Source organism: Homo sapiens, chromosome 6, assembly GCF_000001405.40.
Source record: "Homo sapiens chromosome 6, GRCh38.p14 Primary Assembly".
Lineage (NCBI taxonomy): Eukaryota > Metazoa > Chordata > Mammalia > Primates > Hominidae > Homo > Homo sapiens.
In genome coordinates, this window is record NC_000006.12 from 136,981,333 (window position 1) to 137,009,211 (window position 27,879).

The 27,879-nt window shown below is 41.0% G+C and overlaps 1 protein-coding gene and 1 long non-coding RNA gene across 6 annotated transcripts in view, besides 2 other annotated features; both read right to left on the reverse strand.

Annotated features, from left to right (window-relative positions):
* Positions 1–826: 826 nt before the first annotated feature.
* Positions 827–11,899, reverse strand: NHEG1 (neuroblastoma highly expressed DDX5 stabilizing lncRNA 1). The gene is made up of 3 exons (NR_027994.1): positions 11,842–11,899; positions 8,722–9,028; positions 827–1,821 (listed from the first exon to the last, which is right to left on the reverse strand). It is a non-coding gene; the product is annotated as a neuroblastoma highly expressed DDX5 stabilizing lncRNA 1 (long non-coding RNA).
* Positions 8,906–9,862: an enhancer, noted in NCBI's record as "OCT4-NANOG-H3K27ac-H3K4me1 hESC enhancer chr6:137311375-137312331 (GRCh37/hg19 assembly coordinates)". NCBI's record gives its function as "activates a minimal SCP1, AML or CMV promoter by ChIP-STARR-seq in naive H9 embryonic stem cells {active_cell/tissue: H9 hESC(naive)}" and the evidence as "EXISTENCE:reporter gene assay evidence [ECO:0000049][PMID:30033119]".
* A 6,739-nt stretch (positions 11,900–18,638) lies between the features above and the next one.
* Positions 18,639–27,879, reverse strand: part of IL20RA (interleukin 20 receptor subunit alpha) — a 44,995-nt gene continuing 35,754 nt past the window's right edge. For all 5 annotated transcript variants that reach the window (NM_001278724.4, NM_001278723.3, NM_014432.4 and 2 more), the window contains 3 exons: positions 27,267–27,411; positions 23,289–23,428; positions 18,639–21,023 (listed from right to left, as the gene is read on the reverse strand). In NM_001278724.4, the coding sequence (NP_001265653.2) occupies positions 20,226–21,023; positions 23,289–23,428; positions 27,267–27,411 (1,083 nt within the window). In that variant the 3' untranslated portion in view covers positions 18,639–20,225. The remainder of the gene's footprint in view (positions 21,024–23,288; positions 23,429–27,266; positions 27,412–27,879) is intronic.
* Positions 20,496–21,039: an enhancer, noted in NCBI's record as "NANOG-H3K27ac-H3K4me1 hESC enhancer chr6:137322965-137323508 (GRCh37/hg19 assembly coordinates)". NCBI's record gives its function as "activates a minimal SCP1, AML or CMV promoter by ChIP-STARR-seq in naive H9 embryonic stem cells {active_cell/tissue: H9 hESC(naive)}" and the evidence as "EXISTENCE:reporter gene assay evidence [ECO:0000049][PMID:30033119]".

Here is a 27,879-nt window from a genome sequence, read left to right on the forward strand (position 1 = left end):
TCTTACTATGTTGCCCAGGTTGGTCTTGAACCCCTGGTCTCAAGCAATCGTCCTGCCTCAGCCTCCCAAAGTGGTAAGATTAGAGGCCTGAGTCACTGCACCCAGCCTGATTTGTGGTATATTTAAACAAATAAATGTATATTTATTTGAACTATCAAATTATGATTGAACTGTCAAAAAATTCCTAGGCTATCAGTTGGGATATATGAAGAGTGATGAGGATTTCATACCTTTTTTCCTACTGAAGCCTCAAATGTACAAGAAACATCAAAATGGATTGAGTTTTAAATGATTTTTAAATTCCTATTAATACCTATTCTATCAGGGATCTTTGTGTCTTAGGTTGAATTTCCAGAGGTGGCCCCTGAGATGAAAATTCATGTGCAAGTACAGTAGTCCCCCCTCATCCACGGGGGTTACCTTCCTTGGGTAGGTAAGCCCCCCAGTAGATGCCCAAAACTGCAGATAGAACCCTATATATAATTTGTTTTCCCTATGCATATGTACCTAAGATAAAGTTTAATTTATAAATTAGGCACAGTCAAGAGATTGACAGCAATAACTAATAGTAAAATAACAACACACCAACATTACTACCTTTACACCTTGGGGCCATTATTAAGTAAAAATAAGGATGACTTGAACACAAGCCTCGCGATATGGAGAGTTGGTCTGATAACTGAGTCGACGTCTAAGTGGCTAATGGATGGTTTGCATCTACGATATTGATACACCGGATGAAGGCAGGATTCATGTCCCACGTGGGATACAGCAGGACGGTTTGAGATTTCATCATGCCACTCAGAACGGCATGCAATTTAAAACTTATAAATTTTTTATTTCTGGATATTTTATTTAGTATTTTCAGACCTAAGTTGACTGCCAATAACTGAAACTGCAGAAAGTTAAACCTCAGGTAAGGGAGGACTACTGTAGTCTATCAGGAAATATCTCCAGAAGAAACTGGTAGCAGGGTGGGGAGGTAGGACAGGGAAGGGAAGGCCAAGCCAGGGTGTGATATCAGAGTCTCAGAGTCTAACTCTTAATCCTGCAGGAAGACCACCCTGACTAGGGCAAGGGTTAAGAATAGATCCCAGGCCGGGCATGGTGGCTCATGCCTGTAATCCCAGCACTTTGAGAGATCAAGGCAGGAGGATGGCTTGAGTCCAGGAGTTCAAGACCAGCCTGGGCAAAAAGTAAGATCCCTGCCCATCCCCATCTCTACAAAAAATAAAAACAATTAGCTGGGAGTGGTGGCACTCACCTATAGTCCCAACCACTCGGAAGGCTGAAGCAGGAGGATCGCTTGAGCCCAGGAGTGTGTGCCACTGCCCTCCAGCCTGGATGACAGCAAGATCCTGTCTCAAAAAAAAAAAAAATTCCCAGGAGATAGCACTTCTGGCTCTAGGGCCAACAGATTTGGCAGACTGAGAGCAGTTTTGTGATTAAAAAAAAAAAACAAAAAACCTGCAAATACTGGTTGGGGGACGACATCACACTGAGGGAGGGTGCTGTGGGCAAAAGGGATCTCATATGCTGTGGGTGGAGCACAAACAGCAAGTTGTGAGAACAGCTAAAGCTAACTTAGGTAAAGGGGTATTTCAATCTAGATTGCATTTGGCTGCATGTAGTAGAAATCTGACGCAGTGCCTAACCAAAAGAGTTTATGTTCCCAATATACCAAGAAGTTCAGAGATTGGCAGTCCAGGATTAATATAGCAGCTTCTCGATGTTATCAGTCAACAACATGCCAGCTCTGCCTTGCTTGTTGCTGCATGATTGCGAGATGGCTCTACTGCCTCCAGCCTCACATCTGCATTCCTGGCAGGAAGAAGAAGAGGAACAGAACAGAAAAGGCTGTATGTCTACTAGGAAAGCAGATATTTTCCAGAAATCTCTAGCAGACTTCTGGTTTCTTTCCCATTGTCAATAACTGAATCACGTAATTACCTTTAGATGTATGGAATTCTGGGAAGGTGGCATATGGTTCCCTTGAAAAGAATAACTTTTCATTCTTTGCTTTTTTTTTTTTTTTTTTTTTTTTTTTTTTTAGTGAAGATGAGAGAATGGGCAATGACTGGGCATACAGTGGTGGCTATCCAATAGGGGATTTTTTTTTTGGTAAAAATATACTAGTAGGCTTTAGGAGCTTCCTAAGACAAGATTTAAGTACAGACAGCTGAGATATCTGAGGGATGGTGCCAGAACTTGCCAATGAGGAATTGAGGTAGGGCTGGTTTATGGGCAGTGACCTGTACAGTTGCACACGGCATGTGGAAGGGCCCTGTGTTTGGTTTCATGCTATGCTGTCACTGAGCTATCACATTCTGTCTTTGGACTTGTGTTATTAAGTCTGATGGGACAATGGAGCATATGTGTTTTTTGGACTTGTGTTATTAAGTCTGATGGGACAATGGAGCATATGTGTTTTTTGGATTTGTGTTATTAAGTCTGATGGGACAATGGAGCATATGTGAAGTGGCAGCACATGCCCTTGTTGGCTCAGGCTCGTGGTATAGCGTGCAATGAGCAATGTGCATGCCAAGCAGTTAGCTCAGCTGCACAGGCCAGGATGGGACCTGGGCCCAGATTGGTGGTAGTGATCATGGTGATAACAGCAGCAGAAGCAGCAACTGTGGAGACAGCAGCCATAGCCCTGGAGACAGGAGAAGCTCCACATGAAGGCAGTGCTAGGATTTGTGTTGGGAGGTCAGTTTGCTGGTCTATCCCTGGAGCCCATTCTTGGGGCATCTGCACAAACTGTAACTTCTTGGCTAGAAACTGCTGGCTGTCAGGCAGTCAAACTTTATCAGTAAACTATTACAAAAATAAAAATGTACACATAGACATTGCAATAAAACCTGTCGGGGAGTTATTAAGAGTCTTCAGAATTTAGAATCCCTGGTTTTGGAAACTACCACAACATTGCAAAACAAATATTCACAAGCTTAGAAACAGAAATTAAATTTAAAGACCATCTCATCTGGTGAAAAAAACCCGGTATTTTCATATAAAGCAATGGATGAATCAATTATTGATGAAGAAGACATTTAAAATTAAATTTTATCTTGTAATTGAAGATACAGTGATAGAATGCATGAACAGGTGTTTGCATTTTCAACAAATCATAAAGCCAGTTTCTTGTAAAACCTCCACAAGTTACAGAAAATGTGAGAGGAAATAAAAAACCATTGTACAATTTGAGTTTAAAATAAAATTCAGACTTACATGAAACTGGTTAGTATGAAGAGTTAAGTCTTTTTAGAAAAATTATTCTAAAATAATTGTCAGCTCTCGATGTATTAATATATATAATTTATCAGACATTTATCCTAATGTCGTCACAGCCTATAAAATACTCCTAACAGCTCCAGTAACATTCACATCAGCAGAAAGATCCTCCTTAAAATTAAAATTACCAAATTTATTTGCAATCTTGCATATTCCAAGAGCAACTCATGTGGCTTTCAATTATATCAATTAAAAATGAAGTTGCCAAAAGTATAAATTTTGATGACCTAGTAAACAAATTTGCAGAAGTGAGCCAGAAAAACCTCATGATCAATCAAGATACCATACTAATAAAGTATAGACATCCTCGGGCTCTGCATCGACAGATTCAACCAACTGAGGATGGAAAATATTCAGAAAAGAAAAACCAATTAAAAAAAACCCCACAATAACAAACAATACACAGTAAAAAATACAATATGACAACTATTTACATAGCATTTACATTGTATTAGGTATTATAAGTAATCTAGAGATTATTTAAAGTATGCAGGAGGACATATGTAGAGTATATGCAAATACAATGCCATTTTATATAAGAGACTTAAGCATCTGAGAATTTTATTATCTAAGGGGGTTCCTGGAACTGATTCCCCTTGGATACCAAGGGATGACTGTATTGGCAGTGGTGGTAGCAGTGGTACTGTTACAAAAATAAGAGAAGAAACTCATAGACAGAAGAGAAATAATAAGCACACTATTTATTATGTTATATAAGATTAGGACGCCAAAAATATTTTCTTCAATTCGTAGTTCTATGTTGTTACCTATGTATCATGATTACCCCTTGTTATGGACTGAACTGTGGTCACCCAAGATTCATATGTTGAATCCTTAACCCTTAATGTGACTGTATTTGGAGATAGGGCCTTTAAGGAGATCATTAAGGTTAAATGAGGCCTTAATGGTAGGTCCTAATTCAATAGCACTGGTGTCCTAGTAAGAAGAGGAAGAGACACCAGAGAGAGCGCTCATTCAGCAAGCACACCAGGAAAGACCATGTGAAGACACGGTGAGAAGGTGGTTGTCTACAAGCCAGGAAGAGAGCCCTCAGCAGAAACCAACTCTCCTGGCACCTTCCTCTTGGACTTCGAGCCTCCAGAACTGTGAGGAAATAAATGTCTGTTGTTTAAGCCACCGTCTACGGTATTTTATGACAATGCAAGCTAACTAATATGTATGCCCCTATTACATTTTATAAATAAGAATTTTTTTTTTTTTGAGATGGTGTTTTGCTCTTGTTGCCCAGGCTGGAGTACAATGGCATGATCTCCACTCACCACAAGCTCTGCCTCCTGGGTTCAAGTGATTCTCCTGCCTCAGCCTCCTGAGTAGCTGGGATTTCAGGCACGCGTCACCACGCCCAGCTAATTTTTGTATTTTTAGTAGAGACGGGGTCTCACCATGTTGGTCAGGCTGGTCTCGAACTCCTGACCTCATGATCCGCCCTCCTCGGCCTCCCAAAATGCTGAGATTACAGGCGTGAGCCACCGCGCCCGGCCCAGAAAATATTTTTAATGAAAAAAAAAATCTTTATGTTTTAGTGCCTTTAATGACATTTTCCTCTTACTTTTAAACAAGGGGCTCAACATTTTCATTTTGCACCGGGCCCCACAAATTACATAGGTGACTGTACGCTGAATTCAGGTCACACTCTGTGCCTCCCCTACGGCCTCAGAGCGGTTGTCTCCCTGCTTCTCTCTGCTTCCTCTCTCTCTAGATCAGCTGCTTCCACCCTGACTCAAGTACACAACATCCACCCACTAATTCTGTCTCCATTTCTGAGAGAAAGAATCTAATTGGCTTAGCCCAGCCCATGCATTTGCTAGTCCAGGGTCAGGTGCCCTGTTCCAATGGGCTGAGGACACCTGGCTGTCCAGGCCCACACTTTGCTGGGGCTCAGGTGGAAGGCAGTTTCAGAGGAGATGGCATGGACTGGACTTGTACTTCCAACTGAGGCACTTACGATGCTTTCACGGAGGATTGTCTGGCTTTGATGCTCCACTTCCTTTTACAAGGTGTTTAGCAGCTTCACTCCAAAAAATAAATATAACGAATCACAGCTTAAAAAGCAGAAACCAATGCCCTGTCCTCAGAAGTATCTTAGGGCTGTCTTGCCCAGCTTTCCATTGACAACCCATTAAGAACAGGATTGGGGGAGATTTTCAACAGCATAATGCAAATGCTCATAGGTTTTTAGTTAAGGGTACTCTAAACTCATTTGAGCATGGATTTTTGACATCCTGTCTCACTTAATATTAAACCATGCTTCAAAAAAGTTAAACAGCAGCACTTTGGGAGGCTGAGGCAGGCAGATCACCTGAGATCAGGAGTTCGAGACCAGTCTGGCCAACATGGTGAAACCCCATCTCTTCTAAAAATGCAAAAGAATTAGTGCCAGGTGTGGTAGCACGCACCTGTAATCCCAGTTATTACGGAGGCTGAGGCATGAGAATTGCTTGAACCTGGGAGGTGGAGGTTGCAGGGAGCTGAGATCGCGCCACTGCACTCCGGCAAGATTATGTCTCAAAAACAAAAACAAAAACAAACAAAAAACAAACAAAAATTAAGCAACAAAGATATAAATAAAAATAGAAATATATTTTCTACCAAGACAAATTTTAAGAACACATTTTTGGTAAGAAATATTTATCATTAAAAAGCAGTGAAAGCAAGATCCTTGCTATACATTTTTGGAAGCAAATTTGAAAGATTCCTGTTCAAATAAAAGTAGAAATTAAAATCATTGAATAGTAAAATATTTTATATAGTAACACCTTAGTTACCTAGAAGTCGGACTTAAGGACAACTCCTGCAATCTGGAATACAGCAACGGAACTAAGTTCCCTGAGGCACTGAAACAGTTTTCACAAAATCAATTCACTGAAGCTCATTTGTTTTAGTTGTAGAAGAGGGACTCAGTCAGAGCCTATTCACCCTTACTATTCACTGTCTAAATAACTTTGATGATCCAGTTTGCCACCCACAGCATGTTAAAACCAACAATTTACTAGGGTAGCAGGGTGCTGCTAAAATATAGAGAGTGATTATTGACATCAGGGAGGAAACAGGAAAGGAGGAACTGTCAAACCGGTTTGGAGATATTCAATGCATACGTGCGTCCATGTACCTTTCTTACATACATTTAATTAGCGTGGGCTGAATGTCAGCTATTAGCCTATGACTGTGCTAGGTGCACAGGATACAGAAATTAAGGACTCAGTGTCTGCCCTAAAAGGCTTCTAATCTAGCAGAAAGGGTGACAAATAAAAAGGCAATTACAATATAATGTGGAGAATGATTAAGTGCCTGATTCGGCTTAAATCAGAAGATAAGCTAAAATGCATTTCAAGTATTTCAGGTAAGACATCTGAAACCCCAAATTAAGATCGGGGTAGTGGGGATGCAGAAATGTGTAAGACTTGGAAGATGATGGAGGTAGAATTTGTACTGCAGGATGATGGATTGAGGTGAAGGGCGAGGGAGAAAAAAGAGTCCAGGATGTCACTCAGATTTCTGGCTGTTGTAAAGAAAGAGTTAGAGGCTCCAGTCTCTCCAGAGGGCATCACCTCATTACAGCTGACATTTTAAATGAAGACTTGGGAATCACTGACAAAAGGTCAGAGAAGTACGAAATCCATTTAGTAGCGACTTTCTCTGCTGGCGAAGAAAACACCTCCTCTTAAATGACTGGTATATGGAGGAGGTTTTGTAAGTTCCTTGAGGGCAGGGCACCCAACATTTATCCTTACGTCCCCAGTGCTCCAATACAGTAGATGCTTAGTAACAACGTCTTTATTGGATTTATAGAAACCAATTTAGATAATCTTGACCTTTTCTAGTCATCTCCCTTTAAGGTGTAAGATAAAACTGTGGAAATTTATAGAATAGTCTTTAGTCCTTGAGCAGATAACGGTTGGCTCTAGACATATTTCTCTTTCAAAAAGAATTTTTCTTAGGAGAATTGAAAATTCTACGTTGTTGTCTTATTGAATCAGATCTTAAGACCCTGACAAGCAACCTTTCCATCTCTTCAGGTTTTCAGCTGCTTCGAGAGTAGCAGACACCAATTAGCTTCCTGACTGGCTCTGGGGTGTGGAGAGAGGCAAGTTGTGGCACCTCAGGGCACCGGAGCAGCCCTCTGTCCCCACAGGCACTCGGCATGCTGACAGGTCTGGAAAAGGACTGTCATACCCTAAAGAAAAGGAGGACTCATTCGGCTGACCTTAGGGAGTAAAATGTCCCCTGAAACCTTTTGGACCCCTAGAAGGTTCCTCAGGGGCTTCTGCTGGAAAAAAGCTGAAGAGGCAACTTGTAAACAGTTAAGTCAAGATGCACTTAAAAAGAAAATCTCAGAACTAGGTCAGAATTGGACAGGGGGAAAGAACCATCTGGATGTGTTATGAAGCTTTTCAGAAACTGTTTTCATGATTTTTATCACCGACATCTATTGGAGTAATGTTATTTTTTTATTTGAATATTTAATTTTCAAAGTTAAAACCTGAGAAATAGAAGCATTTTATCTTTCACAAATAGCTGTGAGTCATGGTTTATATGTCTTGAGTTTTTCTCAGCTTTAAAATCTCAGTTGGCTGTGAAGTGGGGGAGAAAAACAAAATAATGAAATTGCACAAGGAAAACCAACTTCCAAAAACACTCCCAACAATGTTCCTTCTTGCATATGAAAGATACATTATTATATCAGATTGCCAAATTTGTGAGCTTGAATAGCAGATGTTCTCATTACAAAATCTCTGATTAAGATGAACACGGTGCTGCAGGGGATGGGTGCTAGAACTAAAACTAAACTGGGCAGTGGGTCTTCTGGGTGGAGATTTATGTCCCTTGGCTGGAGGAGACAAGGTTGTGTGTGTGAAAATTCTTTTGAATTTTCCTGAAGCAGCTGTGATTTTCTGCAAGCCTGAACTCGAGGTAAGCTGTTTCCATTTCAGCCACCTCTTTATGGGGAGGTCACTCTGGAAGCATTCATCTGGTATGGGGGCCAACACTCCCGGATGTGGGAGGAGCCCGTCTGGAGGGATGGGCTTCTCATCACCTCTCCCTGGACTTGCTGCCTCCAACCAGGGGCCATGGTGACTATGAAGGGACGCAGTCAGTCCAAAGCCACCCCGGGAAAGATGTGGCCCGCAGCCTGGCAGGCTGAGGACGTGTAGGGGGCTGCACCAGGCGCAGCGAGTAACCCTACTCCGTTTCTGAACGCACGCGGGGGCGCTGCCAATGTAAGGCTCCCTGTTAGGAACGGGTCCTAGCCCTCAGCGGAGGGTCACAAAGAAATGAGACTTTCCTGGCAAGACTGTGGAATCAGATCGAGCCATTTTTAACTGTAAATGTCTGGCTTTGCCTGCAGCATTTCAAGGAAGACTTGACTGCTGTGCGTTGCCGCCCTCCGCCCCGCTCCCCTGCACTTACCCACCCACCTCGCCTGCGCTGATCCGCAGACGCGCGCGGGGAAAGGCACGCGCGATGCTTTCCCACTCGCTCAGCGGGCGCCGCTCACTGGAAACTCGCTCCGGATTCCGAACCCGAGAGCAGAGCAGAGGGAAGCCCCTTTGCTGAGCAGCTCCTTAGTGGAGGGCAATGAACGCGCTGAAATCCCAGAGCCTTCTCTGTCAAAGACATGCCAAGTTTGTGCATTCTCAGATCAGTTCTGGGCTTTCCTGAAATTTTACTGGGGGTCCCAAAATTTAATTCGGAGGCGTTGCCTTCCATTCTTCCCCTGAAAATAGAGATATGACACAGAAATATTTGTTTACTAGCTCCCTCTCCCATCAGATATGTAGGGTCTTTATAAAATCCTTGTAAACTTTGAAACTTTAATAATTTTTATTCTACATACCATGGGCCTCAAATAGTATTTAAAAGGCAAACTTGAAGGTTGAGACATTTGCTTATACGATTGCACATTTGTATTTCGGATTCTATACAAACAAAAACGGCTTCCATAAGTGAGCATCTGTTTTCTATCTAACAGTATTAAAATATTTTAAAAATTCACACACCACTTGCAACTACCGAGTTTCCTCTGGTTCTTTTAAACAATTAAAATTAAATCATAATGGTTCACAGGTTGTATGAGCTCCCTTTTCTGTGGCTGGGTTGAAGAGCTTTCCTTACCGACACTAGTCTTATTGTTCCTTAATTTCAGCTAGGTAGATATCTCATGGGATTATTCATCTTCAGCTGTACTCAACTGGTTTTACTTCCTCGGTTCAAATGCATTTTGAATGTTTCCATCTGAACTTACATGCTGTGCCTGTCCTTAATAACACTGTTGGAAAGATATTGTTCATTGAATTCTCACCATTCCATCCTAATTACTTTCTCTTTGAGGCTTTGGTCTTTAAAATACAATAGCCTAGAGGCCTCTCTGATCCTGAGGGTGGTGCCAGTAACAGAGTAAATGTGCTCATAATAGAATTTCCACATTTTTCTTTTAAAAATACTTTTAAAATGTCACAAGTAATATATATCCATTATGAAAACCGAAAACAGGTAAGCAGAAATAAAAACTATGCACTTATATGTACATATTTATAAATATGAATATATAAAAATGTATACATATTTATAAATATGAATATATAAAAATGTATACATATTTATAAAAATATGATACATTCCATTTTAAAAACATTTTTCTGCTAAATAAAGTATGAATACTCTCCTTTATTCTAATGGCTACTTAATTTTGCCCATACAGATGTAATAAAATCAATTCAATTAATTCTTTATTGTTGGAGATGCAAATTACTGAAAAATTTTTGCAATTGGAAATACAGCAATGAACATCTTATATTCTTGTGCATTTGCCCAATTATTTTTATAAGATAAATTTTCTGGGACCCAATTTCATTTTGACCAGAGCTTTTACTTATGGCTTCAACCTGCTGCCTTCAATGGGAGCTGATTTTGCTGATACAGAAGATAGTATTGCCTCTACTGGGTTCTTCATATTAGTTCCTCTGACTCGAGTCTTCATTCTAGTTACAATCTCTCTGAAAATTTCTCACTTTGGGTTTTCTATTCCTTTACTAGAGACTATATGGAGCTTGGCCAAAGTGGCCTTTATGATTTCCACATTTCCCCTTATCTTTCAACATCCTTCCTCTGCCTTCTCTTTAAATGCTCACAAATCTAGGCAGAATTCTATTCTTGACTACCCTTCTTTGTAGTCTATGCTCTCCCTTAGCTAGTTTGTCCTCTGATTCTATTTATGAGAATGATTCATCCTTAAGAGCTATCCTTTCCCCCATTTTTTTGATGTGTATTCCCATATATTCCTTGGCATCTTCCCATGATAATAGTGCAAGTATCTTAAAGTTAGTATTCCCCAGACTCAATGCTTTATTCCAAACTCCCAGCAAAACAAAAACAAATAAAAATAAAAAACAAAACCAACCCCACCTCCCAAACAAAAGAACTCATTTTCTTCTTTCATATTCTCTCTTCAAAAGTTGAAGGTGCCCACTGAGCCACCATCAAAGGGTCATTCAGATTTAGATTGAATAGACATTTATTAACTGTATCAAGTCATATCGGTTTCCTGCTTAAAACTCTCTAGTGGCTCCCCATTGCCATTAAAGTGTGACTCAAACTCCTTACAGGAACCATCAGGCTTCTGTGATCTGGCCTCTGTCTGCCTCCTGCCCAGATCTTCTCCCAGGCTCCTCCTGCCTCTCTATGATCAGCTGCCTGCTTTCTGACCTTCTCTTCAAAGTACAAGTGCATGTGCATCTCAGAGACTGAGCACTTGCTCTTCCTTTGGCCAGAACCGCGTTTTGGATAATGTATTTGGTGTTGTAACTAACAACTCATTGCCAACCCAAGATCATTTAGATTTTCTGCTATATGTTTTTCTTTTGGAAGTTTTATAGTTTTGAACTTCACATTTAGTCTGTGATCTATTTTGAGTTAATTTTTGTGAAAGGTAGGTCTTTGTCTATATTCTTTTTTTTTTTTTTTTGGCATTATCTATCCAATTGTTCCAGCACCATTTGGTGAATGCTCAACCCTTTCTCCATCGAATTGCCTTGGGCCTTTGTCAGAGATCAGTTAACTATTGTGTGGGTCTATCTTTGAGGACTAATTAATATAAATTTAAAGATTCCTTTATTGAAACATTCTATCAGCAAATATTTCATTGAGTAACTACTATATGATCAGTACTGTTTCAGGTACTGGGAACATATCTAGGAGTCAGAAAGAGATTTACGGAAATAAGTTAGCTTTTGAGTCTCATTTGTACAGTATTTCCTTTTCTGGCAACCCAAAAACTTCATTAAGGAAAAAAGAAGGAGGTAAAAAGGACTTGCTTAAGCATCATGGCCATGAAGAAGGGAGAGGGGAAGATGACATTTCTAGACTGGAACTTATTTTTTGTAAGGATGAGAACTCAGAGGTGTCAGTCTGGTGCTGACTCCTCAGGGAGGAACTTCTGGGCTCCTGTGTGTCCCATTCAAGGATGGTATATTTGTCTGTTTTTACGCTGCTGATAAAGACATACCCAAAAAGAGGTTTAATTGTACTTACAGTTCCACATGGCTGGGGAGACCTCAGAATCATGGCAGGAGGCGAAAGACACTTCTTACATGGTGGTAGCAAGAGAAAAATGAGGAGGAAGCAAAAGTGGAAACCCCTGATAAACCCATCAGATCTCAAGAGACTTATTCACTATCACGAGAATAGCACGGAAAGGACCAGCCCCCATAATTCAATTACCTCCCCCGGGTCCTTCCCACAACACATGGGAATTCTGGGAGATACAATTGAAGTTGAGATTTGAATGGGGACACAGCCAAACTATATCAGATGAGTATTACTTGGCTCCTCTTCGCTGTACACAAAGGGCATGTCTATGGCAGTATTTGAAAAATAGAGAATGAGTTGCAAGCTAGTCAATTGTGTGGAAGAAAAAGGAAAGGAAAGAAAAGTAATTTCAGGGCGGGTGCAGTGGCTCATGCCTGTAATCCCAGCACTTTGGGAGGCCGAGGCAGGCGGATCATGAGGTCAGGAGATCGAGACTAACCTGGCTAACACGGTGAAGCCCTGTCTCTACTAAAAATAGAAAACATTAGCCGGGTGTGGTGGTATTAACCTATAGTCCCAGCTACTCGGGAGGCTGAGGCAGGAGAATCGCTTGAACATGGGAGGTGGAGGTTGCAGTGAGCCGAGATCGCGCCACTGCACTGCAGCCTGGGTGACATAGTGAGACTCCGTCTCAAAAAAAAAAAAAAAAGATTTCAAATATTGTTTTTTCATATTTCATATTAGGCATTTAGAAGTGAAAGGGACCTTAGATCTCATCTATCCCAAATCCCAACCCTGTGGAGGAATCCGTCTACAAAAGCTGTAGCAGAAACCAGCCTGTACTTGAACCTTTCCAGTGACAGGAAACTCAGTACCTCGGAGCTGCCACTTAATTATAGAAGACCCTCCCTTACTCAGAACTGAACTCTGTCTTCCAGAGACTCCCAAATATGTGTCCTAATTTTATTCTCTGAAGCAACAGACATATATATCTAATGTCCTCGTTTGCAAGAAAGTCCTTTGCATATGGTTACCAGGGGTTCACTAAGTCCTGGATTCTTTCTCTCTGCACTTCCCCTTAAGTCTTGGCTTTGAGACTTTTTAAAGTTGTTTTCTGGTTGGCTAAAGCCCTTGTTAAAGGTGCTGCTCAAAATGAACACAACACTCCTGGTATTTGAGCCTAGGGTTTAGTTGATGTGGGTTGCTAACAAGAAACTTTTTTTTTGAGACAGGGTCTTGCTTTGCTGCCTAGGTTGGAATGCATTGGCGCCATCACGGCTCACTGCAGCCTTGACCCCTGGGCTCAAGCCATCCTGCTGCCTTGGCCTCTTGAGTAGCTGGGACCGCAGATACTTGTCACCACACCAAAAACATTAACACAGGTTAATGTTTTTGAATTTTAAGTAGAGACAGGGTCTTGTTAGTTGCCCAGGCTGGTCTCGAACTCCTAGGCTCAAGTGATCCTCCCGCCTCAGGCCTCCCAAAGTGCTAGGATTGCAGGCATGAGCCACTGTGCCCAGTCAAGAAACACCTTAATTATACTTAACTATAATTCTGTTTATATGAATGTCTTATCTATACTTCTGTTTATATGTTTATACTCTTTTTTTCTCCCAGAGGTTAAATGTTTAAAGTTCCTCATGATGCCTCGACTAAAGATGCTTCTACGTGAAAGTGTTGTTTCAATCTGTAATTTCACAATATTTTATTTTGGAAGCTGGTGGCAACAAGCTGGCAGGAAACATGGACCTTAGGAAAAGCAAACACATTCTATTTGCTAATGGTCACTAAGCGATTGTAACCAAGGCAAGCTTATTACAGAAAGGAACAATCAGCTGAAGTGTAAAGACAGAGCGTTTGAAAAATCCTAACCCTTCTTCCCTGCATGCTAAAATCAGCTAACAGAGATAAACTAGTAGCTGGTTCTTAAAAGAGGGATTTGTTTACACTACGTAATTTTTATCAGTGGGACAACCTGTTTGCCTGCCTGAGATCTTATTACTTATTAATGCATATTACCTGTGAATAAGAAAAAGGTGCTTGCATTTCAGAAGTTTGTGTGAATCACGTGTCCTCCTCATTTCCTACCAGAGTTCAGGTATTTGTTTATTTTGAATAATGACAGTTCTCAGTAAAGCTAAGGTTTTAAGGTCATGCCCTTCTGCATAGAACCTAATCTGTCAATGGCTCTTTCCTGTTCAGAATTTTAGACTTAGTAAAAAGTTTGCAAACTAAGAGCTTTTATAAACAGAATATGACCATTAATATACTTGTTTGTGAATTCCAAGGGAAAATGTATGACAGTTTTCATAATTTCAAATGCCTTGACCAATGTCACAAAGCTAATACTGATTATGGAACCCATGAGTATGACACTAAAATTCAGGGGCTTTGGAATTCCATTGTTGTTTTGCTTAATTAAATAGACATACATTAGGGCATGTATACTATACATGCTCAGTCTAAAGAAGAATAACCAAAGGAAAACTCTTGTTTTCATCACCATTTAAGGAGACCATTACCAATTCCAATGTGATCTCTGTCCTTGGTTCCCAAGGGGGAACCACAATCTCAAACTTGTAGTCATTTCCTTGTCTTACAACATATATATGTATTCCTAAACAATATAGTGCTTAGTTTTCTATGTTTGGGTATTTTATACAAGTGGAATTATTCTATCTGTGTTCTTTTAGAAATCAATCTTTTTGCTCAATATTATGTTTGTGAGGTTCATTCATGTTACCCTGTGAAGTTGTAGTTCATTTTCAAAGCTTTCTTCTGCTGATAAGCCTTTGTGTTCTTTTGCAGATTAAAAAAATGAATGATGCTTCTATGAACATTCTTATATGTGCATCTGGTGCTGTTTTTATTGCTGTTTTTATTGTTTTATTTATTGAGCACTTATTTTGTGTCAGGCACGGTTTTAAGTGCTTCAAATATATTGATTCATTTAAATCTGCTGCCCTCTGAGGTATGTAAAATTATCATCCTCATTTCACTGATGAGGGAGTTTGGTCCAAAGAGGTTAAGTTAAGTTGCCTGAGGTGACAAACCTAGGAAGCTACAGAAACCAAGCCTCTCAGCTTCAAGAGTCTATCCTTGCAATCAGTACACCATACTGATTCTTCTTTGGCTTATCCATCCCTCAATCAGTCAATTTGAAAAGTTCTAAGGTGTGTTTCCATTTGTCCATATATCCTTTTGTTAATCAAATGCTGGCAAATTCTTTTTAAAGCAAAAAGTCAAAAAATTTAATAGAGTTCCAATACCAATACCACACCTCCTTTTTGGGGGCTTGGGGATAATATCTCTATCATTTTTAAATTTTCCTCTCATATCAAATATCCTGATGTTTTATTTAGCATGTCAAATCAATTTCAGAATGGGAAAGAATGCACTTGCCTGAGAAGAAAGAATAATATGTAAATAATTTTAACCGTATGAGACCTTTAAGAGCAGTATCTAATTCATATGCCCCTCAAAAGTGAGTGCCAGGGACAGGCAAATGACCAATGGTATTTATCCCCATCAGTGCTCATCTGTCTCAGTGGCCTTTGCATGAAAACATAAACATGAGCCATATGTCCATCTTCTGAGTTGGTGGAAACCCTCCGAATACCACCTAATCCAGAAAATGACAGATTGAGAAATCTAAAGAGATCTGTTGGGGAGAGTAAGGGAGAAAATGCCTCATCTGCTTCCAGTTATAGCAAAGAGTCAGAGCATCAGTTCCTTGGGACAGAAGGAGCCTCCACCCATCAACACAAGCATAACAGAAAGCACCACCAAACAGCCTCACACACCAGCCCTCAGCCCCTCTCTCAAGGGAGTCTTGCATGTAGCAATGCTGAAAGAACCTTAACTCATTGGCATGAAAACCAGAAGTGAAAATCAAAGGGAAAATTTGTTAAAGATTAAAACTAGTAGGACTGAAGTTTTGCAGCCACCAAATGGGCCAAGGGGGCTGGAGGAACATCAGTCCTGCTGAGATGGTCAAAGTAATGGCCTGCATGGCCAAGGCCGCCTTCAAGCACATGTCACTGAGGACCCAAGGCTTGGGAGAAGTGGTAGTAGGAACTAAGCACAGAGAGTCTAACTCCAATAAGGGACGATACATGACCAGAGTAGTCATCCAGCCAGTTTGGAGAGGTAGTAATTTTCAGGAAATAGTGTTTTTGAGAGGTTCAGTTATCTTTAAAGGACTTACAGTATTTTTGGTTGCTGCTTGGCTAAATCTATTTTATTTTCATTTTTATTTTATTTTATTTGAGACGGACTCTTGCTCTGTCACCCCAGGTGGAGTGCAGTGGTGCCATCTTGGCTCACTGAAACCTCCACCTCCCAGGTTCAAGTGATTCTCCCGCGTCAGCCTCCTGAGCAGCTGGGATTATAGGCACATGCCACCACGCCTGGCTAATTTTTCTATTTTTAGTACAGATGGGGTTTCACCATGTCGGCCAGGCTGATCTCAAACTCCTGACCTCAAGTGATCCGCCCACCTCGGCCTCCCAAAGTGCCAGGATTACAGGCGGGAGCCACCATACCTGGCCTAAAACTGTTTTAAAGCATTATGTTTGGAAAAAATAATTCCCAATCTGTTGTTTCAAATGTTCTAGCTTGACTAAGATTGGTGCATTATAAACTTAATCTGTAGTTAAAATCAGATAGTTACATATTTTTGAGTGAAAGGAGCAAGTTATAAAATAATCCAATATAATCCCCACTTTTGGCAAAAATATTTACATACATGCAATGAAAATGTCCGGAAAGTCCTACACCAAGGTTTATGAACTGAGGCGCTATTGGCATTTTGGGCTGGATAACTCTTTGTTATGGTAGGATGTTTAGCAGTATTTATTCCTGGCTTTGGCCCCCTACATGCCAGCAGCACCCTCCTCCTGAGTGGTGACGATCAAAAATTTTCTAGACATTGCCACATATCCCCTGGGGGACAAAAATTCTCCCAGTTGAGAATCATTTCTCTATTCAAATATGTTTATGGTGGTTAAATCTGGGTGACAGTATTATAGGTAATTTTTCTTTCTTCCCCTATTTATTTCTAGTTATTCTACAATGAATAGGTATACATATATCTTAATATATGTCTTCTATAATAAAAATAAAAGCTATTGTTAAAATACCCATAACCATAGCACTATTTATTTTAAAAATTATAGGTACATGCTTTTGAGCAAAATCTTTGAAAAATATCTGTAGATAGGTTTATGGAAGACACAATGTGGGGAATTAAAAAGGAAAAGTTCTTCTAAGATAATTTAGCAAAAATTAATCTGCAAGATGTGGGGGTGGTAATGTGTGGGCCAGAAATAACTTGATTAATGACCCAGGGGTACCCATCCATGACAACCAATCCTCTGTTTAATGTTCTCATTAGATTTACCAAGCTGGCGGTCTTGTGCTCTGGGCTGTACAAATAGTTTTTCTCTGCACTGATTTCCTTCCAGTTGGGCTCGGCATGGGCAGGCACCAAATCTTTCCCATGTTATGGGCTCCAGTGACAAGTTCACTTCCCTCACTTCCTTCTTGAGAGGAAGACATGGCACTATGTTTCACTTACTTTGTAGAGGTGGTATTTTCGTTCACCAGTTGTTTAGGATTTATGGGGTGTGGAAATGGAGCTGCTAATAGATGTTTTTTATTTCTATTAGATAAGGAAAACTTAACTAATGTTCAAGTGGTATATAAAATCCTGGGAATGACCAGGGATAAGATGAACAGCATAGTTGTCCCTTGGTATTCACTGGGGATTGGTTCCAGGACCCCTGAGGATACCAAAATCCACGGATGCTCAAGTCCATGGTATAAAATGGTGTAGATAACCTACACACATTCTCCTGTATACTTTCCATCATCTCTAGATTGCTTGTAATGCCCAATAGGCCTAGACATCACTTCATTTAAGTGCATTCAGTGTAGTACTCAGTGCAATGCAAATTCAAGGTTCACTTTTTGGAACTTTGTGGATTTTTTTTTTTTTAATGAATGTTTGATTTGCTATTGGTTGAATCCATGGATGCTGAACCCACAGATACAGAGGACCAACTATACTTGTCGGACTCTGAAACTTCAACTTCTCAGCTCCACTTGAACCTCAGGCACAGAGATGGAATCTGAAGCGGACCAAAGGGTGGCTTCTTGGAGATGGTGAGGCGTGGCCACAGGAGGAACAGGATGCATGACAGCTGCCTCCCACACAGATATACCGCATCTAAGAAGATGTCGCCACCCCCATGAGAAATATCTACTGTATGCTCATGTTTGAATGTGTGTATATATATAGGTTCAATATATACATAAGTTGCAAAGAACTGAAGCAGCAAAATTAGAGAATGCTCAATATTTCTGACATGCTTGGAATAACAAGAGATGTAAAAGCAACTCAGAATTAGATTCCCCTTTTACGAAGCCAGATAATGTGGCTGAATCACTGAAGGATTTCAATCTGAGGGCACAAAGTAGGAAGCAAATTACTATTTACTCTCTGGTAAGAAAAACAGAGTTAGACAAGGTCTGCCTTTGAATCACAATAGTTGTATGTCTAAATGGCGTTTCTTTCTGGCAGTTAGTAATGGGACCTGGCAGTTAATGATGATGATGACAAACACTTAGGGAGCACTCACTATGTGCCCAGCACAGGTCTAAGTACCTTCTATAGTCCAACTCTTTTAATCCTCAAAACAGCCCTAAGGCAGCTCTTATTTCTATTGCACAGATGAGGACACTGAAGGACATATTAGGTACTTAGAGAATATTTTGTGAATGGAATTAATAAGCAGAACTATCATCAATCACTTTATTTTTCTTTTGCTCTTAATAACAATTTATTCTTTCTCACTCTTGAACTACTTTTACAGTTAGTGTAATACATCTGTTCTTCAAAACCAGCAGAATCGTTTCTATAAAGATTGAGAATAACAGAACACTCTGATTAATATAATTACTCCCTAAATTAAACCATTAGATCTGAAACTGTTTGCATTTGCGGATAATCACGAAAGGTCATGACCCCAGAATCCATCTCTCCTACCAGGGTTGTCTGCCTGTACCAATAATATCAATAAGGAAATATGGGTGATATCTCTTCTCATGAAAGAGCATCAATGGATTATGAGTTCATGACTAAAACAAATATATATTAAGGCAAACCATATGAAGTTACTGCTTGTCAGATTAAAAACAGCCAAATATCCACAATTATATATGGTTCAACTTAATAGATTTTGTCCCATTTTAAAGCAGCGTGACTGAAGAATTTAATTTTCTTAACAAGTGGTAAAGGAGATGGGAACAGTTACTGGAAATGAACTAGAAAGCTATTGTTTTATGGCATAGTTTAGTTCCTACAGTAAATTTCATCAAATTTTAATAAACTCTCCCTTACATAGTCATTTAACTCATTTCTCTTGTATGTCCTATATTTACTTATGGGTTTTAATATTATAAGAATAGAGGATATTCATTCATAGATATTCCAAAGAGTCTTTGAACGACTGCCTATTCGAATGTTTAATATTATAATAGTAACACAGTAACCTAGAGCTTTACCTAACACTTTCTAGTTTACAGACTATGTAAATATCTTTTTGAAAACACACTTCCAGAAATAAATGTAATATTCTATTATAAAATGTGTCATTTTCTTTTAGGTTAGTTTTGAGAGACAATAAGCCCCTACTAAATTATTGAGAGGACACTTTTCTGACTACAAAAGAATACTCGTTTATGTTTACACTCCAGAACTACTCATAAAGTATTAAAGATGGCCTCTTAAAGTAGCCAAGAGTGTGTGATATCATGAAGGTCTGTGCCTGATGTATTCACTCAAAATATGAATCATGATGATTAAATAGTTGAGGTTTTCACATGCGACCAACTTACCACCAACCTGGTATATGTGCATGTTTTAAGTATCTCCTCCTGCTCGCAATAAACCCAATTCTGAAAAAGTGGTATTTATAAAATGAGTGATCTTTGGGAAATATTTTTTACAGTGCTATGTGCATATGGGAAGTACCCAGAAAATAATTGTACAAGTGTGCTTGTTTGAAAATAATGAACCAAGAGGCCAGAGTACACCCACCTGAATAAATTCTGCACCCAGTCTGGCAAACATTTATTGACTGCTTTCTCTGCATAGAACAACCGGCCAGCCCCTGGACTCCAGAGGCCCACCATCATTGTTAAGAGACCTACATGCATGAACCAATCACACACGTGCTATGAGAATAGAGAAAAGAAATAAGTAATTCTCACAGACACTGACAAACTGGAAAAAACTTCTTTCATCCCAGGTACTTTATGGCTGGGATCAAAGGGGTGACTCACTTGTTTGCACAGGAAACAAAAGGCAAAAGGAAGTGTTGGCATCAGTTTTCCATCTGCACATATAACCCCCATTCCTCCATGAATTGCATGAGATAGGTTTCATTTTCTCCTGGTGGCCTGTCTGGAGCCGGCTCCTCATAGAGTCTAGATAGAAGACCCTCCTCTCCGAGCCCATCCCCCTCAGAAGGCTCGCAGCCCTCTGAATCCTGGTCGAAGCTGGACAGCGAAGGAATACACAGCCTGCCAGTTTGGGGATCCCAGTCGACCAGGGTCGTCGATGGCTCTTCCTCCGGCCCCTCCTCCGAGTCTGTGTGCTCCTGCGCCAGGGGGTCTAAGTCTTGGAGCTGAGGGGTGTATGAGTACTGTAACGTTTGCGGGCCCAAGACTGCCAACGCTGCCTGCGACTCCAATAATGTTCCTTGTGTGGACACCTCCTCCTGCAAACTGAGCTCCTGCTCTTCAGGCCCCGCACAAATGTCAGTGGTTCTGACATCATATTCATATTCAATGACTGTTTTATCCGGGGGTATTGTTCTGCTGAGGGACTCTTGCTGGGTGAGAGAAGTACCTTCCGTGTTTTCTTCAGAGTCACAAAAAATTTCCATCAAATGCGAAGCATACCCTAAATGTTTCACCTCCTCTTCCTCCTGAGGGGGCCTCAGGTTCCCGCTGGGCTGAGGATCATTAAGGCTGGATACATCACTGCTTTTTCCCAGTAAACTCATATCCTGATGAGAAATTTTAGAATCATCCGAGATATTGAGGGTGATAAAGTTAATCACGATTTTTTCAGCAGGCACAAAGAATCTTTTGTCAAATTCATTTCCATAAATCAAAATCTATAAAGAGAAAAGAGAATGATTTTCACCTTTTCACTTTAGAGAGACATTAAAAACAGCTGTTAGGTAGAATATCTTGTCACCAGACAGTTTTAAAGACCTACTCTTACCAACTCATGTAAATGAAAGTTATGCTTGCAATATACAGAAAACCTCACTCACTGGGAGGCAAGAGACCCAAGACACACAAAAGATAGTTGGAAGCGAGAAGTGATTCGCTGGGTGGGTATTTCTCCAGTCCAGGGCTGGGGCTGGGGCGTTGGTGCCCCCTCTTCTAACTGGCAGAGGAGTTGCTTCATTTCTTGACCTTTTTTACATTCTGTAAAGTCAGAATCTCAGCCACATGAAGAGTAGCAAAGACTGGGTGTGGCAGAGTTTGTGACACTGTTTTATTTATAGTTTGCTATGCACTTGTTAATAAGCTGTGGTTACCTGGGCTACCTGCCCTGTTTTTGGATATACTTGAAATGCAGACAGGCATGAGAACTGGATGTAGAAAAGGAGGGAAATATATGAGCAGGGATGGTTTTTACCCCTTACACCATTCTTATCATGCTATAATAGAGCCAAAAAAGGAAATTCATCTGCCAGTTTACGGTAGACAGAGAAACTCTAAATCATGTCAAGGAAGCTCAGATGAGATTAAAATATTGCTGTGGGTACCATGAAAGATACCTGTTATCTAAGAGAGCATGAGTTACAATCCTCATTGTCACTCTACCATGTGATTTCATTTAACTTTACAAAACAGAACCTTCAGCCTCAATCTTTTACAACATTTTAAGTTTCAAAAAAATCACAGGTGGTCAATTCTCCTGTGAATGTTCCTTCCAGAAAAGGTCTCCCAATGCCATTAAGAAGCCAACTCTGAAACCTGAATGCAGGCAGAATCATAGAAAAACTTATAAACTGAACTAACAGGAAACAAGGTATGTTATCATGTACACGTGAACACATCTTTTAATAGTTCTCAAGAAAATGGTTTTGATTGTTAAAAATATGCTCAGCCCTTCAGAACCCTTCAGCACATTGTCCCACCTCTGTGGGTTTAATTCTTTCTTCTTTCTTGCTTCTTCTTACTGTGAAGGATTAAGTCATGGCCATGTTCCTCCTAAGTGTGTTTCCATTCCATGTCTTTCTCTCTAGACTGATATCCCACTCTCGCCTGTTAGACTTGAATCTTCTCTCCCCTGGACAAAGCTACAGTTCCCTAGGTGCTTTTCTTGTTTCTAGTCTTACTCCGCTCTAAGTTTTCCTGGAACTAATATCTGGTTGGATCTAAACCTTGATACTGACTATGATGCTCCTAACCTAAAACCCTATGGAGATTTCTCTTTGCCAGTAGAATGAGGCCTAGCTCCTTAGAACAGCACCCCAGCTCTCCCCTTACTTGGACCCACTGCCTACTCTCCAGTCTCATCTTCTTCTCTAGCTCCTCATCTGGAGCCTCCTTGTTTAGGGGTGTCATGCAGTTTCCACACATCCACCTTGCTGTTTCTTCTGCCTGCACTACGGATCCTAACTCCTACTCACCTCTCATAGCCAAGCCCTGGCATGAGAGCTGAGCCCCTGTGTAGGGTTTTGGGGCCCTCCTTGTACCCCCAGAATTCCCAGCGCCTGCTCTCATCTTAGCCTTCATGTGTTATTTTGAAATTCTAGTCCTCGACTAGGCTTGAACTTCTAGAAGGGCAGGGCAGGGATCATGATTGAATTTATCTGTGGGACCTTGTATAATCTGGTGGTTAAATAGAACATCTTTTCAAAGCTAAGGAAAATGTTCTGTTAGTCAGCTAATCCAGAAAGCTTTTTTTTTTTTTTTTTTTTTTTTTTGAGACAGAGCCTCAGAGCCTCACTCTGTCACCCAGGCTGGAGTGTAGTGGCACAGTCTCAGCTTGCCGCAATCTTGGTCTCCCGGGTTCAAGTGACTCTCCTGTCTCAGCCTCCCGAGTAGCTGGGATTATAGGCATGCATTACCACATCCAGCTAATTTTTGCATTTTTAGTAGAGATGGGGTTTCACACTGTTGGCCAGGCTGGTCTTGAACTTCTGACCTCAAGTGATCCAACTGCCTCGGCCACCCAAAGTGCTGGGATTACAGGCGTGAGCCACCATGCCCAGCCCAGAAACTGTTTTTTAATTCACCAGCTATTTAACTTTAAATTCACTCTGCCCTTAAAGGGAACTGAATCTGTTCTAGAACCTCCTCTTCTGTCCTCCTGGAGGTGTACTATTATAATAAAGAACCCTGCCACACCAAGTACTCACCAAATTTGCTGGGTGTTTCTCTTTGCCAACGTGGATATATCGGTAGATGGAATAGCCCATCACAGAAAAAAGAAACACGGTAATAGATACGGGCAAAACATACCAGAAGATGATTTTAGCCTTGAACTCTGATGATTGATCTGTAAAAAAAAAAAAAAAGGTGGGAATTCGGGGGAAGGGATTAGATAGTTGTGATTTGATGTGATGGGAAAAACCTCGTATCGTTAAGCTGCTTCTGTGCAGATCACTTACATTTGGGAACTCAGTTTTCTCACCTCTACGTTGAGAAGCTTAAGCTAAATGTTATAAGCGGTCTCAGAATTCTTACTCTCCCTGACAAGAGACGGTCTGAAGGAATCATCTGAGTGTACCTCAAATGTTTACACTAAGGATACATCAATCATCCAAGTCAGCACATATTCCACCATCGTATGTCTGGCTATGAGATTCATGCAGGTTCTTATATTTCAAAGTAAGTGTATTTGATATTCAAGTAAGTCACAGAATTTCAAACAAACAACAAAACCCTCCAGTGAAGATCCCATTGAATTGCTCCACTTTTCCACGCCACCTGTTTGACTCAATCTTTCTGCATGTTCACTGAAAGACATGAATGCATGACGCCACTTTTATATGAGTAGCAGAACTGTTCTTGCACTGTTTGGCTGGACTTTCTGGGTAGGGCTGGAGCCTGGGGATGTGTGTAGGGAGGTGGCTGGACAGGGTGCAGTGCGAATGGCAGTTAACTCCCTTCCCGGGCCTGCTGTGCTGTAGGCTCATGATGAGTAAAAGTCCGCAGAGGAAATGAAAAGACCTGGGAAATCGTTTTAATAAAAGCAGCCCTGGCCCACACCATTAATCAGGCCATATAGCTGATGACTAGAGCTCATTGTGACTAGCTCATACTTGTTAAGCCACTGTGGTATACTTGGAAGTTGTGATGGTACATTTTACATGTCCAGTTGGCTAGGCCACAGTATGCAGATATTTGGCTAAACATTATTCTAGAGCCTTCTGTGAAGGTTTTTGTTGTTGTTGTTGTTGTTTTTTTTAATGGGAGTCTAACATTTCAATCAGCAGGTTTTTGAGTAAAGCAGATTACTACCTATAATGTGGGTGAGTCTCATCCAATCAATTGAAGACTTTCATAAAAAATGTCTTGATGACCCTAAGGAACAGGGAATTCTGCCAGGAGTCTACCTTTGGGTGCGAACTGCAAACATCAACTCTTCCGTGGGTCTCCAGCCTGCCTATCCTATAAATTCGGACTTGCCAGCCTCTACGATCCTGTGAGCCAACGCCTTAAAATAAATCAATATTTCTAAACAAATAAATATATCGATATGTGCATCTATATGTATTCTATTGGTCCTGTTTCTCTGGAGAATCCTGACTGATACAGCTGTAGGAAAAAGAGCAGCTTCAGCACAAATGACAAAAGTCCGAGTGTGCTCCTTACACACTAACAAAACCAGCAGGAGTGTGACCGGAGCATTCTAATCCAGGAGAATGTTGGATGCTCTTGATGCTTGGGCCCAAGAGAAAGCAGCAAAGTCACTATCTGGTTAACTATCCAGTTGAAAGCGAAACAGATGTGTCATGGCTGATGAGGGTGGTCAACAAGAGCCGGTGGGAAAAGTTCCGCATGCGGGCCTGTTACCCTGCACAATTCCCAAGGAGCACATTCATCACCAGGTTCCACACAGAGACGTGCCAATGCTGTGATGCGGATGCTGCGGGTGTCAGAACACCACCTGCCCTGCTTGTAGCCTATAACTCAGTCCAACCCTCTTAATACAATCCCTGGTCCCTGGATTGAGCCTGTCCTAATTGAAAAAAGTCATAACAATGACTGATAGCATTTAGTATACACTAACCCATGTTTATTACAACAAACCTAATAAACTATAATTGTATTTTAGGGATGGGGGACGAGAGAGCAGAAATATGTTTTAAAGAATAGTTCCAATAGAGGTAATACTGATTATTCAGAAAGCAGGTCCTCACACCAGTGTGTTGGAAAGATATCTCTGGTGGTCTAACAGCTGGGATAGCACGGGTTCAGAACCAGAAATAGAGCCTTATTATTCCGTTAATTTTTCTTTCTTTTTTTTTTTTTTGAGACAGGGTTTCACTCTGTTGCCCAGGCTGGAGTGCAGTGGCACAATCACGGCTCACTGTAGCCTTGACTTCCCCAGGCTCAGGTGATCCTCCCATCTCAGCTTCCCAAGTAGCTTGGACTAAAGGTGTGTGCCACCATGCCTGGCTAAGTTTCGTATTTTTAGTAGAGATGGGGTTTCACCATGATGCCCAGGCTGGTCTTGAACTCCTGGGCTCAAGTGATTCTCCTGCCTCGGCCTCCCAAAGTGCTGTTATTATAGGCGTGATCCATTGCACTTGGCCACTTTTTTCATATTAGTGAGAAAGTGGGCTTCATCTGCTTACTGAGAAGTTTTGAATTTAATCTGCATTTTGTTGCTTTTGCTCCAATTGTGTTAATGATTTCCACTGGAAATTCATTCCCACCAGCTGGCACTGATCAAGGTGTTAGTAAAGAGAGCACTTCTCCCAAATACAAATGCGATTTCTTCAATATGCTTTGTTTTGCTTGGCATTTTAGTTTCATTTGATATATGGTAGAGACTCCTTCATTGTAAAAGAAAAGCTATGATAAAGACAGAGAGTCAAAGGCAAAGCCTTGCGCTTTTCACAGGTACTCACAAAGTTCCCTTTCTTTACTTTCGGACAGTTTCATCGTGAAAGGTGGGAGGGGTGAGGGAGGAGGAAAGCAGGGGTTATGGATTCCTATCCATGGCTGGTGATAGAGCCAAGGCATGGGGTGGAGGTCGTCGGCCTCTGTCTCTAGACCAGCTGTTTGGAAAAGAAGCGGAGGAATAATGGATGAAGAGCCCTTCGATGCAGGCAAACTTTAGGATGTATTTTTTTTCAATTTTCAAGTTTTTAGTTAAAGCTCCTCTCACTGTGAAGGCAGAAAAATTAAACAAATGCCAAGCTCACAACTCTATGTCTTCTCATAGGAATGGGTATCTCCAATCACGGTTCCTTGGCAGCCCAGTGTAGAAAATGTGAAGAGGAGATAAATAAAAGGAAATAGAGAGAAGCAACTGTAAGGATAAGGAAGTGATCACTGATTTGTGGATCCCAGACCCTCATGCAGCCAATTAGTGGCACTTGAACACAACTGGAAGCACCTATAATTAGTATTCCCCAGGGAAAGTAAAAAATGAATTCTGCTTTACAGTGGTTTTAGAATAATGCTTTGTTTCTAGCAATAAAATTGTCTGATGTTCTTGAAGACCACAGAATTTCTATCAATCAGAGTGGTTATGATTTTATTTTTTATTTTTTGAGACAAGGTCTCACTCTGTTGCCCAAGCTGGAGTGCAGTGGTGCACCTATGGCTCACTGCAGCCTCTCCTGGGCTCAGGTGATCCTCCCACCTCAGCCTCCCGAGTAGCTAGGACTACAGGCATGCACTACCAAGCCTGGTTGATTTTATTTTTTATAGAGATGAGGTCTCACTATGTTGCCCAGGCTGGTCTTAAACTCCTGGGCTCAAGCCATCCTCCCTCCTTGGCCTCCCAAAGTGCTGAAATTTCAGGTGTGGGCCACTATGCCCAGCGTGATTATGATTTTAAAGAAGAAAAAAGGCATGTGTAAAAGTTCTTCATTGTTAATTCACAAGGCAGGTGGCCGAAGGACCATGGAAAGAAGCTGGCAGTGGACACGGGACCTGTATGAGTTCTCCGAGGGTGTGAGAACACTTCTGAACGTCGGCCAAGCTCAATGGCAGAGTCCCAGGCTGCTCCACGCATTTCTGGTGGTAGTTGTTTCTGCCTTTGCCTCAACCTGTTTCTGTTAGACACGGATTTGTCAAAACCTTGTCTAAACCATCATACCGACTTCTAGTTTTAGCAGATCTCCTTCCTAGACCAGCAAAGATTTTTTAAAGCTTACCTTTCAAAGTCCTGGCACACTGCTTCTCAGAAGGCTGAGCACGGCGAGGGGGCCCTGGGACGAAGGACTCCACGTGTACGCAGTAAAGAGTGTTCGGCTCCAGCCAGGTGAGCACCAGCGTGTGGTTGGTCACACACTGGGACCACTAGGATAGGGAATTGCAAACATTGGTTAGAGCCAGACATTTCTGGGACCACCCCAGACAAATAACTGTAGAAGGAAATAGAAGACCAAGGCACCATTTAATTCTTTACTATCAGTATAAGCTTTTTTTTTTTTTTTTTTTTTCAGCAACAGTTTCAATATACTCTTTTCCTTTAGCTCAGCAGAGCATGGTCAGGAACTGGACCAATGCTGAGAACAATTCTAAACAACACATGGATAGAGTTCTTATTCATTGTCCTGGGTCCTTGCTCACATTTTTTTCTTCTTCTCAGAGAAAGACTGTGCAAGTGAAAGCTCTTCATCAAAGTGAAGTGTACAATCTCTCTACACTCCAATAACAACACCATATCCTGTCAACAGAGTTTCTGTAAAGAAGATCTGAAGTTAGTTCTGTAAAATTTCTGTATATAGAACTTTATTTTGTGCGGCGTATCTTTTGAACATCATG